The sequence below is a fragment of the Homo sapiens genome, chromosome 12, assembly GCF_000001405.40.
Source record: "Homo sapiens chromosome 12, GRCh38.p14 Primary Assembly".
Lineage (NCBI taxonomy): Eukaryota > Metazoa > Chordata > Mammalia > Primates > Hominidae > Homo > Homo sapiens.
Window position 1 is genome coordinate 59,702,925 of NC_000012.12, and position 12,852 is coordinate 59,715,776.

At 36.2% G+C, this 12,852-nt stretch overlaps 1 protein-coding gene across 12 annotated transcripts in view; it reads left to right on the forward strand.

The window, feature by feature from the left end:
* Positions 1-12,852, forward strand: part of SLC16A7 (solute carrier family 16 member 7) — a 193,813-nt gene that overhangs the window by 106,896 nt on the left and 74,065 nt on the right. For 10 of the 12 annotated variants that reach the window (NR_073056.2, NR_073055.2, XM_011538989.3 and 7 more), the window contains one exon: positions 1,848-2,094. Coding sequence is in view for 9 of the 12 variants with exons in the window: in XM_011538989.3 (XP_011537291.1) it covers positions 1,878-2,094 (217 nt within the window). In the remaining 3 variants the exon portion in view is untranslated. Of the gene's footprint in view, positions 1-1,847; positions 2,095-12,852 lie in introns of those variants that run through there. The other 2 variants (NM_001270622.2, XM_017020226.3) reach the window with 2 other exon arrangements.

Below are 12,852 nucleotides of genomic sequence, written 5' to 3' on the forward strand. Positions count from 1 at the left end.
AGGCTTCTTAATATCTCTGAAATTTGTCACATTTAAAAAATAGAAAAAATACCTTAAAAGGCTTTTATTGAAACTAAACTGAATAAATACTTACTGAAAATAAAAAGCATTTATTTAGCATAATAAGTACACAGTATTTATTGAGTGAGATCCCCTTATCCATTTTTGTATACCTATAAGATTACATTATAGGTTACTTTGAGTATCATGCATTAATTCAATAAGATAAGTAATTTGAACTCTTGAAACTATTCCATCAAATTAATGCCACTGTATCCAAAGCCATATTTTATATGTGTGTATTTAGTCAGGAATAACTTTAAATTTTACTTTATTGTAATTTCTTGGAAAAATCAAAAGGGTTTGCCTTTTTCATACCATTTAACAATTTTTAAAATTTGTTTTACCTACGTTGTCTAATAGAATGGTAGGTGCATTTATCATTTATACCTCTACTTCCTATAAAAGAGTAATTTGAGACTGCTTTTTAAAAAATAAACATAAAACATCACATTGTACCCCATAAATATATAATAGATACAAGCAAATATATAAAAAAGCTAATTTTTTGATGTATGAGTATGTGAAGAAGACATGTAAAATATATTTATAAAAAATGTTTAAAAAGGAGATATTTTCTGTACAAATCATTGTGGCAATTAAAAGTCTTATTTAGCTATTTTACTTTAATTAAAAAACATTTTAGGGATAGGGCCTGTCTCTGTCACCCAGGATGGAGTGCAGTGGCTCCATCAGAGCTCACTGCAGCCTTGAACTACTGGGTGAGTATAGTTAGTAATACTGTATAGTATACTGGTAATTTGCCAACAGAATAGATTTCAGGTGTTCTGAGCACAAAAAAGAAAAGTGGTAACTCTATGAGGCAAGGGTTATGTTAATTAGGTTGACCGTAGTAATCATTTTGCTATGAATATGTATAACAAAACATGTTTTACACCTTAAATATATAATTTTTATTTTTTAAAAATAGTGGGGGCTGGATGCGGTGGCTCACACCCGTAATCCCAACACATTGGGAGGCTGAGGTGGGTGGATCATCTGAGGTCAGGAGTTCGAGACCAGCTTGGCCAACATGACGAAACCCCATCTCTACTAAAAACACAAAAATTAGCCGGGCATGGTGGCGCCTGCCTGTAATCCCAGTTACTAGGGTCTGAGGCAGGAGGATCGCTTGAACCTGGGAGGCACAGGTTCCAGTGAGCCAATATCATGCCACTGCACTCCAACCTGGGCCACAGAGTGAGACTCTGTCTCAAAAAAAAAAAAAAAAAAAGAAAAAGAAAAAAAAAAGAAAAAGAAAAAAGTGAGTTAGAATTATCTCTACAATCATCAAAAAGCGTAGACAACAGAAAGCAATAAAAAAAGCCAATAGATCATGTCAAAAGGCTTTGCATCCATCATTTCGTTCCTTGGCTTAGCCTTAAACAGGAAGGAAAAATGAGACCAAAAGTATCAATTAATGAGGTTAAAACAACTGGTGATTGAAGTAGAATATGTATCAGATCTATCTTAGAGCTATGACTGATGTATAATGTAAAATGGTACTTCAGTTCAGATCTAAATTCTTAACTTCACTTTGAGTAATTTTTGTTTCAATAATCAAATTAAATTATTTAAATATTTAGCCCACAATAATCAAAGGTATATAACTTGCATCAATTGTTTTTGTACATTTTCTGGTAATTTTCTGAGTATAAGAGTGTGAAAAATATTCATGAAAAATCATATTGTAGTTTTAACTGGAAAGTACTATTTTAGTGACTATGAAGAGTGGTAAACAAAAGGGGAAATAAAATTTAAACTGTTATTTCATTATTTTAATATAGGTTACTTGAATTTCCACTAGAGGAGCAGAAATGCCACCAATGCCAAGTGCCCCACCTGTGCATCCACCTCCAGATGGAGGATGGGGTTGGATTGTGGTTGGAGCAGCTTTTATCTCCATTGGATTTTCCTATGCATTCCCCAAAGCTGTCACCGTATTCTTCAAAGAAATTCAGCAAATATTCCACACTACCTACAGTGAAATAGCATGGATTTCATCCATTATGCTGGCTGTTATGTACGCAGGAGGTAAGCTTCTTGCAATAAATAGAATCCTGAATTAAGAAAATAATTCCTCCATGTCACAATGTTTTACATGGAGTGTCTTGGTATATTAAAACCCTGTTTTTATGTTATAGTCACTTAAAACCAATCAAAAGTATAATTAGAACTGAAATTTCAATGATTTTAGTGATTCAGCATCTTAAGCTATTTGCTTCGAATTGAGTCTTAATGGAGGATTTGTTTGAATAAGAATTTGTAAGCACAAAGCAAGATTTACTAAATTATGGAATTTCTAAGTGAGGCTACTTCATTTAGTTTGAAATAAAGTCCACAACATATTGCTGATGTCATTTTTCACAATCGCTACCTCTGGTAGAAATGCTTTCTTCTGAATGAGAAGAAAATTTAAGTTGCTGACAGTTTATAAGCCCAGAAAGTACATCACTTTAAGCTGCAAAAATGAAGGGTTAACATGTACATTCTAGACCCATTCAAATTTGTGTGACTGAAATAATTATTTATCTCTATAAGGCTCATTAAATAGGACATCTTTTTAACTTAAATTGTTGCTTGGAAATTATCTTATTACATTCTATGTTCAAATGAGGGTATTAGTCATGAAGGATAATGAAGAAATCAAAGTACCATCCCACTTCTAAATGTTGCAAATTTGGAATTATTGGTGCCTTATTATGTCATCTATTTTCTGTAAATCAATCTCAATAGCAGACCAGACTCTCTTGTAGAATTTTTTGAAAGTCATTACTTAAAATATGTCTTTTAGCGTTTTTATTTTTCAAGTGGATATTTGACTTTAAGGGATAGATATAGACTCAGACTATAGTCATTTAAAGAAATTATATCAATTATCTTCTGTGATTTCTTATTTTTCAAGTAAGGATAATATGGCTCTTAGTCATGAAAATATAACATTAGTATAATATCCAGTATTTAGTAATATTTACTTTCACCCAAGGCCTAAGTACTTAATATGTGTGATATGACTTAATCCTCTTAATGATCCGTGAAATAAGTATTATCTTCTCTTTATTCCATAGCTAAGGAAATATATACAATAGCTCTCCCAAGTCAAACAACTTGTTAGTAGTAAACAGAGACTGTAACTCCTAGCATTTAACACCTGTGGTCTCTGACTTTCTCATAACTTTCTCTTTACATCTAGAGAGTGACAAAGCCAGATCTGGCCCAGGCCTTCTATAAACCTGATTCAATTCTTTCTACTTCAGCTCAGTGGCTTGTGTACCACCTCCACCAATGTCATTTGTTCAGTGACATAATAATTATTCTTTAGGACATTATCTTTTTGTTGTACTACGAAGGTAAACAGTTGATCCTGAAATAATTCCCTGTGTGTGTGTGTGTGTGTGTGTTTATGTGTGTTGGTGTTGGAATGTGTTTTATACTTTTTATATATAGTGACTTTATATTAATACAGCATATGTTTCCCTTATTCATTTGGTTAGGTTAAACATGCATTTTTCTTCCAGTATCAAAAGGTATCCTTTAAATACTATTTGGGCGTGTCAATGGAAAATTCTACTTCTAACACACATTCTATGAATCTCCTTTGGACAGTTGCTTTATAGATTGTAAGAATGTTATTTCTTGTGACCATAGAAACAGTAGGTATTGTAGAGTAGATATTCCTGTATCCTGTGGGACAGGTGTTGTTTAATAATGTTTTGCTAGAGCAGCACACAGTCATCTTGATTTCAGCTCCAAAACGTGCTAATATTAAGATATGTAGAGGGTTTTCTTGCCTCTTAAATACAATTGAAACAGTCTCTTCTAGTGAATTAATATAAGTCCATTGAATTTGAACTTCAGGTCTTACATAGTCATAATTCCTTATTGAGCAGATAGTTGACTAACTCATCAGTAGGACAAAATTTTATATACTGTTTTAATTAAGCCAAATCTTAATTTACATTCTCTGTTAGTTTTCAGACCTCAGAGTCTTGATGACTTAAAACAATACAGGTTATTTCTTTCTGAAGCAATGTTTCAAAAAGTGGCTATTCCATCACCCAAGGCTTTGTATGTTGTTCCCTAAATCTGCTCCATCTGTTGGACAAATAGTAAAGGCAGACAGCATGGAAGATCATATGGACTATTTTAGGGGGTATGCCTGGGAGGAATAAACATTATTTCTGTACATATTCTATTGATCAGAACTCTTATACTGCCCTACCCAGAGTTAGGGGCCATGGATGCTGGGAAATACAGCCTTCCCAAAGGAAGAAACAGAACTACATAACATCTAGCCAGTCCTAGTCAGAGCCTGGTATCTCAATATTCTCCATTGAACAAAAGAAGCATGTGTTTATAGACTTGCCTATGACAGCCCTCCACCCTCTGGCTGGATCTAAAAGGAACATTAGAATGAACAATGGCATAATTAACTTTCTCAAACCACTAAATCTCAATATGAAATTATAAAAAGTAAATATACTATATTTACTACAAATAAATGTTTTTATTTTATTCATACTTATTTTTCTATTTTAATATATATGGTATAATTTTTTAAAAGCACAAAAGAACTCTTCTGAAATTCATGAAGAAAATGGTAGTTTGTTAAAATAGTTATAAATTTGGAAAAAGCTGCCTTAAAATTTTTAGGGTGATAGATGAATAAAATATGTCTAAGTTAAATATTAACAGGGATTTTATATATGCTTGTTTTGTGAAAGCAGTGCTAGATACATACAAATTCTTGGTATTTAGTAATTGATGAAGGCAATATCTAGGTGAGATCCAAGTAAGTACCTGGAATATTGCCTAAAGTCCTCCATTATCGGGGCTAAAACATGCAAATGTTTCATCTCTGGCCATAGAGAAAAGTCAGGAATTGCAGAAATTCTGCTCACCTTTGGTCCTTCTTTTAAAACTGGAAACACAATTCTAGGCCCATTGTCTAGTGGATGAAAATGCTTTTACCTGCCATGTCCACTGTTGAATATAGATCTTACACGTTTACATAGTTTGTTGGAAATAACATCTATGTCTTATCCTGATAATTAGTTTCTAATCTTTTAACCAAAAATAATTGGCACATTTAAAATTATAATCTAATGTGGAAATAATTTTCTTAATGTGGATGCAGATAATTTTTTTTCAGAAACATAGTAACTATTTAGAACAAAAAGTCTGATATAGTCAGTTAATCTAAGACACAGGTATTAGTCCTGTTACTCACATTGCAGTCTTTCTTCAACTGTGGTCTACAGAATGCTTAGCTTCTGAGTCATGAGTCTTGTTAAAAATGAAGTCCTAGGCCTTATCCCAAATCCCCTTTTATCAGGATTTCTGTTGTTAGAGTTCAGAAACTTGCATTTTAACAAGCATCTCTGAAAACAACTTCACTTTATATACAACACAGGGGTTCACTGTTGTAGAAGAAAATCACTATTTGATTTTAAAATACTTAAATTTTCTTACACTATGTGAAATATATTTATAGGAGCCTTTTAGGTTGATGATTATAAAAAAAATTTGGAGAGCAAAGGTGAAAAGACATAGTTTACTGTGAAGTATAATGAGTCTCTCTAGCAAGTAGCTGAAATATTCTGTTCAACACAATGCTAATTGCATTAGCCTAGAGAACACCTAAGATCTGACACATTCATTAGGGCTTAGCAGTCAACCTATTAATCACTACTGTGGGGTCACTGAGTAAGATGGAGCATGTTCAGAGGCCTGGCCTGTGATGTCAGGACTGGAGTCTCTTGTAGTAATTAGTTGGTATCTGGGCTTTGGTAGCAAGGTATTATCTTCCCTTCTGATGTCTGAATTAAAAATGAAACTAATGAAAGGTTCGCAGGAAGGATGGAAAAGAATGCAAATTATGTTTATACCTTACTTCATCCTTAGAATAATGGCATCACATTACAGCAATCCATCTGGATGTCCATATGTTCTCCTGGAGATCTAGCAAATTTTAGCAAATAGGTCAAACAGTGTGGTCACCCCATTAATAAAGCACTAAGTAGAGGTAGAAAACATAATTTAAACTTTCTACACTGTTTAGAAGGACATAGGGTTTTATTTTGTAAATAGTGATTACATAGGATTATCTTTTAGTGCAATATTTGTTTTTGTATTCTATTGAATGATAATCTATATATGGTTACCTCTACAGTTACTGGCGACAGATTTGGACTGCCAGTTTCTGTGAGTACTTTATATGACTTTTCTGGTAAAAATCTATTCTGACTTGGAAGAATCAGCCATTCTGGAGAGAAGAATTGGCTTTGTCTCCATGGTAACTTATTTTTCTGTTTTATGTGAATAGTGACGGCCAATTGTGCTAAAGTAAGGGTGATAGTTTTGTGATGAACTACTTTACATGGGGATTGAACATTAGAACACTGAGCTTATTTTACTGGAGGCCGAGAAGCAAAAGGCTTTAACATAGCAGGTTGGTGGTCATAATGTACAATATGTATTTTTCTATTCTCTTAAAATTTTAAATAAGCTCAATATATTATTCTACATTGTGCCCTAATATTTTGCAGAATGAGGGAGGCTATTAAAATAATTCATGCTGTGCAATATCTTAGCAGCAATAAAAAAAGAAAGTCATTCCATTCCTGTGTTTGAGATAGGTAGAGCTTTCATCTTAGATTTATAAAAAGCAAAAAGTACCAGGTACACTTTGACAGCCCTGTGCAAGTAGGCTGTGGACTTTTTATATCTATGCCATGTTAGACTCTTTTTTTCATCTGTAGGCATAAATATTACTAAAGCTTTCTATGAAATATGGTACAGTGTGGCAGAAACTATTATGCTCACCGTGCATCCATGCACTCCTCTATATTTCCCAGCTTTCCTCCCCTTAGGCTGAGGCCAAGTGACTAGTTCTGACCAATTAAATATAAGCGGAAGGACATCTGTCCCTCTGGACACCTCCTGGACAAGGTGGTTTGATCTGGCATGCATCTTCCCTTTCTCTACAGTTATATAGACTATACTGATCATTACAAACATGAGGGCTTGGTTTATTGTGTAACAACAATATAAGTTATATAAATTATTACATGGGATGAGAACACACTATGAGATAGCCTTAGTCAATTTAGCTTATATTATATCATGAAATGTACAAGTGCTACTCTATCAGATCTCTGTTAGAGAAGAGGTATCCTTTGGTAGCCTAGAGAACACCTAAGATCTGACACATTCATTAGGGCTTAGCAGTCAACCTATTAATCACTACTGTGGGGTCACTGAGTAAGACAGAGCGTGTTCAGAGCATGTTCATTTTTCTCAAATGAAAAAGAAGTTGTGAGTGGATATTATCATTGCCAGTCTTCATGGAATAAAAGTGAGAGGCAAGGACTTCAAAACACAAAGTAGGAATGGAATCATGGCCCTGGAGCTTTCTATGATGAAATCTGTGTGTCTCTTCCAAAACAGGGATGAAAGGGGACAGAGGTCAACAACAGATTGGAAGTGTGCTTAGAGCCTTTGAAATTATTCCAGGACACACTTTCCCTACAGAGGGCTGATAATCTAGTACAAATAATATCAGATAGTTACTAAATGTTATTTTCAACAGAAATTCTAAGAACCTTTATTGAAATCTTTTCTGACTGATATATGTGCCTCAGACAGTGAACCTTTCACTTACTGATGTATAAAAAGAACCTATTTATTAATTTATGACCTGACAAGAATAAGACTATCTTTCCTGATTTTTGGCTTAAAAATTTTCAAAAATATGTTATTATATCATTACTCACTTTATGCAGATGTGTTTTTGTTGTAAATGACAGAAACCTGATACAGATACCCTAAAGCCTAAAGAGAAATGTTCATGTATACAAATCAGAGGAGAAGCAGAGACACCAATGTCTTCCAGCTCAACTAGCACCAGTAATTCTGTTTGTCCAGCATGTTACACTCTCTCTTCTCTCTTCTGTTTCTTCCAGAGGGCAGCTTTGTTTATTTATGTTGATATTCTTCCCCTGGCACAAGGAAGATGTCTACCAACACTTCAGCCTCATATTTCAGCTCAAATTTGACACTAGGAAGACTGCCACTATTCCCTAAGTTATACTTTGACAAATTCTAAGGAAGATTGCTAGGACATGGCCTACTTTGCATTTGCCCTGCAGGCAGTGGGTGAATGAGGGACTAACATTGGCAGCCTGAGTGGAACTATGTATCTGAGATAGGAAACGAGCAGTTCCGTAATGGAAGGGCACTACTGTTCCCAGAAGAAGGAAGGATTCTGAAGAGACAAAGTATTAACAATAAGCACTTACTACTTTAGTCTTTTTAAAGAGATTAATATGTTATGTTTCAAGAATAAAAATGTGTTGGGTTTTACTAGTCACTCATGGGGAATTTTGCATGTAGATACTTTATAGCTAGCTAGCAAGCTGCATAGATAGGTTACATGTCAAAATGCATATATCATATTTGGAAACTATTGCCTAATGAAATATAATGCTTAGTAGCCATGAAATATAATGCTTAGTAGCCACCCAGAGGACTCAATTGCATTTTGTTAAAATTTGAAACAGGGTCACTCTGTTGCCCAAGCTGAGTGTAGTGGTGTGATCATGGCTCACTACAGCCTTGACTTCCTGGGCTCAAGCAATTCTCCTGCCTCAGCCTCCTGAATATTCTGGGACTACAGAGGTGCACCACCATGCCCAGCTAATTTCTGGTTTTTTGTACAGACGAGGTTTTACTAGTCTCAAACATCTGGACTCAAGCCATACTCCCACCTTGGCTTCCAAAAGGGCTGGACTTACAGATGTGAGCCACCACACCCACCCAGCCCTAATTGCATCTTATGTGAGTTGGTGCCTAGAGTGGAACATAGATATGGAAGGTACTGGGATCTCAAAATGGATTATTAATTATGTAATTGTGCAATGAGAAGCAGAAGAGCATTATAGTTGGAGAGTGAGCTCCAAAATATTAATAGCAGATATGAAATTGAGACTTTGCTACTTGGTCATTCAGCCTATTTGCCATTTTACCTTGGACACAGTTTCCTTATCTGTAAAAATCACACAAGAATATATACATTTATGAGTGCATATGTGAGTGTGTGTGTATGTATAATGTACACTCTCCTGCTCAGAGTCATTATTAGTAATAAACACCAAATACGATACTTAGGAAATTGTAGTTTTTGATTCACTGCAGTTGTTGCTGCTGTTGTTCTTGATATTCTCCATTATGCAGTGAAACTGCAGATAAGGAACAAAGAAGATAGTAAGTCTGACTCAAGCAATCTGTGCCAATAACATTTAAAAACGACTGGAAATGCAAGAAATAAATAGGGTCAATAATCATTTCTAAAAGAAATCTATGCCCTTTACCCATATTTTCCGTGGCATTTCTCTTGTGCCTCCTATGATTTGAATAGTGGACAAGACATTGGTCATTCTTTTTGGGCCATCCTATATTGAAAAATCCTTCTATGTTTAGGGAATTCCCAACATCACCATTTTCTGACTCCCCAAGGGAAAAGACAGAAATATACTTTCTCAGAGTTTATTACACTTAAGGGCACAGGCATGTGACCCAGTCTCCGTCAACCCGGTGTAGAAAGGCCCGTTTTCATTCAGAAACTACTGATGTGTAGAAGCAGATTCCTCAAGAAAAACATTCAGATGAGGTGGTTATAGGTAATTAATAATCCATTCACGCAAAACTAGTGTCAGTGTTTAGGGTCAATGGGACTTGCAGTGTAAACTATGTGGTCATTGGTGGCAGCTGTGATGTCCCCACTGGAGCAATCAGTTTTGTCATGTGATTTGGTCAGCATCATAGCTTGGTTTTTTTAATCCCCCCTCATATTCTCTGACATTCTTTCATGTCCTTATTGAATGCCTTCTTCTTTAACTAGGATATATGATAGATACATGTGGTTAAGTTCCCCAAAGGTCCTAGTGAGGTCTAGCATGAAATGCTCTCGTGAACTAACTGGTTATTCTGAAAACTTTCTATGGATGTTTTCTTTTCTTTTCTTTTCTTTTTTTTTCTTTTCTTTTCTTTTTTGAGATGTAGTCTCGCTCTGTTGCCCAGGTTGGAGTGCACTGGCACAGTATCGGCTCACTTCAACCTCTGCCTCCAGAGTTCAAGTAATTCTCCCTCCTCAGCCTCTTGAGTAGCTGGGATTACAGGCACCCACGACCACACCCAGCTAATTTTTGTATTTTTGATAGAGACAGGGTTTCACCATGTTGGCCAGTCTGGTCTCAAGCTCCCAACCTCAGGTGTTCCACCCATCTAGGCCTCCCAAAGTGCTGAGATTACAGGCATGAGCCACCGCACCCAGCTGAATGTTTCCTTTAAAAGAAGGACCTTTCCTACTCTTTCCCAGCTCTTCCTCAACAACATATTAGGATTGAAGAATTTACCGCAGTTCTTTTTAATTAACTATTTTAAAGGGCTCTGTAAAAATTGAAATTAATTTTTATATTTTCATATGCTGTGGGTGACTTAAGTTTGATGGATTATGTCACAAAATGCAAAGTAAATACACATTGAATATTTTTTCATTATAATAGTAGTGACTTTGGCAGAGTAAATGCATTGTTCCAAAGGGATTTTTAAATGGTTAATCTAGATGGCTCTCCTTGAGTTAGAATTTGCTCAGCTGGCTGGAAGTATATGCTTCAGGAGTGTGGTTCATAGATTTGACCCTAAGGGGACGCCCTGGCAATGGCAGACACTAGCCTTGCACAATCATTGCCTGAGGATTCATTTGTAGTCACCAGAGGTAGGGATGTCCAGGTAATCCAGCATCACAATTAAGAAGAAAACTATACATAATTTCACTCATTCATTTATTCCATAGATACACACTGAGCATCTTAAATGTGCAAAACACTGGTGTGGCATTGGAAAAACCACAGCGAGCCAACAGACACAGGCTATGCTTTCAGAATATTAAATAGCCATTTACACTTTTCCTTATTTCATTACAGTTATGATAAATGTTAGTAAAGAGGCACAGTGGGTGCCATGCAACAGCAGAAAATGGAAATCGATCTCATAATTGAGTGATCAGGCAATATTTCTTGGAGCTGAATTTGAAGGATAAGGAGGCAGCGTTAGTCAAGGGAGAGGAAGTGTTTGAGGCAGAGGAAACAGTATTTGTGAAAGCCGTGGAAGAGTCATGGAGAGTTCTAGTAGCCCAGAGGAGGTGAATGTGATTGATCTATGGTGAAAAGATGGAGAAAGTTGTGTTTGACAGTCTAAAACCTACTGGAAATGATCCTGGGCCACATATTGTATCCATATAAACAAAAGAGAAGAGGATCAGAGGATAGGCATCTATGCTACCATGTTAGTCTGCTCTAGCTGCCATAAAATAATATCACAGACTGAGTGGATTAAACAATGGAAATTTATTTCTCACAGCTGTGGAGGCAGGAAGTTCAAAATCAAGGTGCCAGTAGGGCTGGTTTCTGGTGGGGCCTCTCTCTTCGGCTTGTTAGATGGCTGCCTCCTAGTTGTGTCCTCACATGGTCTTTTCTTTGCATGTGCACCCACCCCTGGTGTCTTTCTCTCTCTCTCTCTCTTTTTTTTTTTCCTTTTGAGATGGAGTCTTGCTCTGCCGCCCAGGCTGGAGTGCAGTGGCACGATCTAGGCTCACTGCAACCTCCGCCTCCCAGGTCCAAGTGATTCTCCTGTCTCAGCCTCTCGAGTAGCTAGGATTACAGGTGCCCACCACCATGCCCAGCAAATTTTTGTATTTTTAGTAGATATGGGGTTTCGCCACATTGGCAAGACTGGTCTTGAACTCCTGACCTCAGGTGATCCACCCGCCTCGGCCTCCCAAAGTGCTGGGATTACAGGCATGAGCCAACATGCCCGGCCTCTCTCTCTTCTTATAAGGAAACTAGTCATAGTGGATTATGGCCCAACTTAATATTTCTTATGACCTTATTTAACCTTAATTACCTCCTCAATGGTCTTAACTCCACAGACAGATACATTAAGTGTTAGGGCTTCAACATGAATTTTGGAGGGATATAATTTAGTTCGTAACAGGTACTAGGATCATAACTCTGAGTACTCTCCTCCCTTTTAATCAATTTTAAGAGCAAATGCATAATCCAGAATGTGTTAAAATACAGGTGGTTGTCATTATTTGTGGTAGTTATGCTCTATAAAGTTGCCACAAACACTGAATGAAAAAATACCAAATTGCTGCTTCTAGGGGAGATTTAGGGTTACAGGCCCCTGAACCTCTGATCATAAAATTTTAATTCACCAAGCAATCCATGACTTTGTTTTCTATGTGTTTCCATTTAAAGACATTGTATTCAATATATTTCACTGACTGACATTGAATTTTGGCCAAAGGTGCTATAATTTATTCCTGAATTAAGCTTATTAAACACATACCTTTCCTCCATAAGTCATATCACAGCCGTCTTGTGCCTAGGAACACCAAACAGCACTTCAGCATTATGCTTTGAGGCCATTTTAAACAGAAGAATTACCAACTAAAAGCACAAAAATGCAGAAAATGTGGTATTATATAGACCCTGAAAAGGACAGTTGTTTACACTCTGGGAGCTGGACCAAGAAAGCAGTTCATCATCTTGTTTGACCTCCGCTGGGAAGGTGAGGGCACACAATGCATGTCAGGTGATCCAAATTTTTCACCACTCTGCACATAGCCACCAGTGACTGCAAAAGAACTGAGAGTATTGATTTTAAGGTTACAAATCAATTTTAGTAAGTAGATAAATATGTAAATATAGAATCTGCAAATAATGAAGG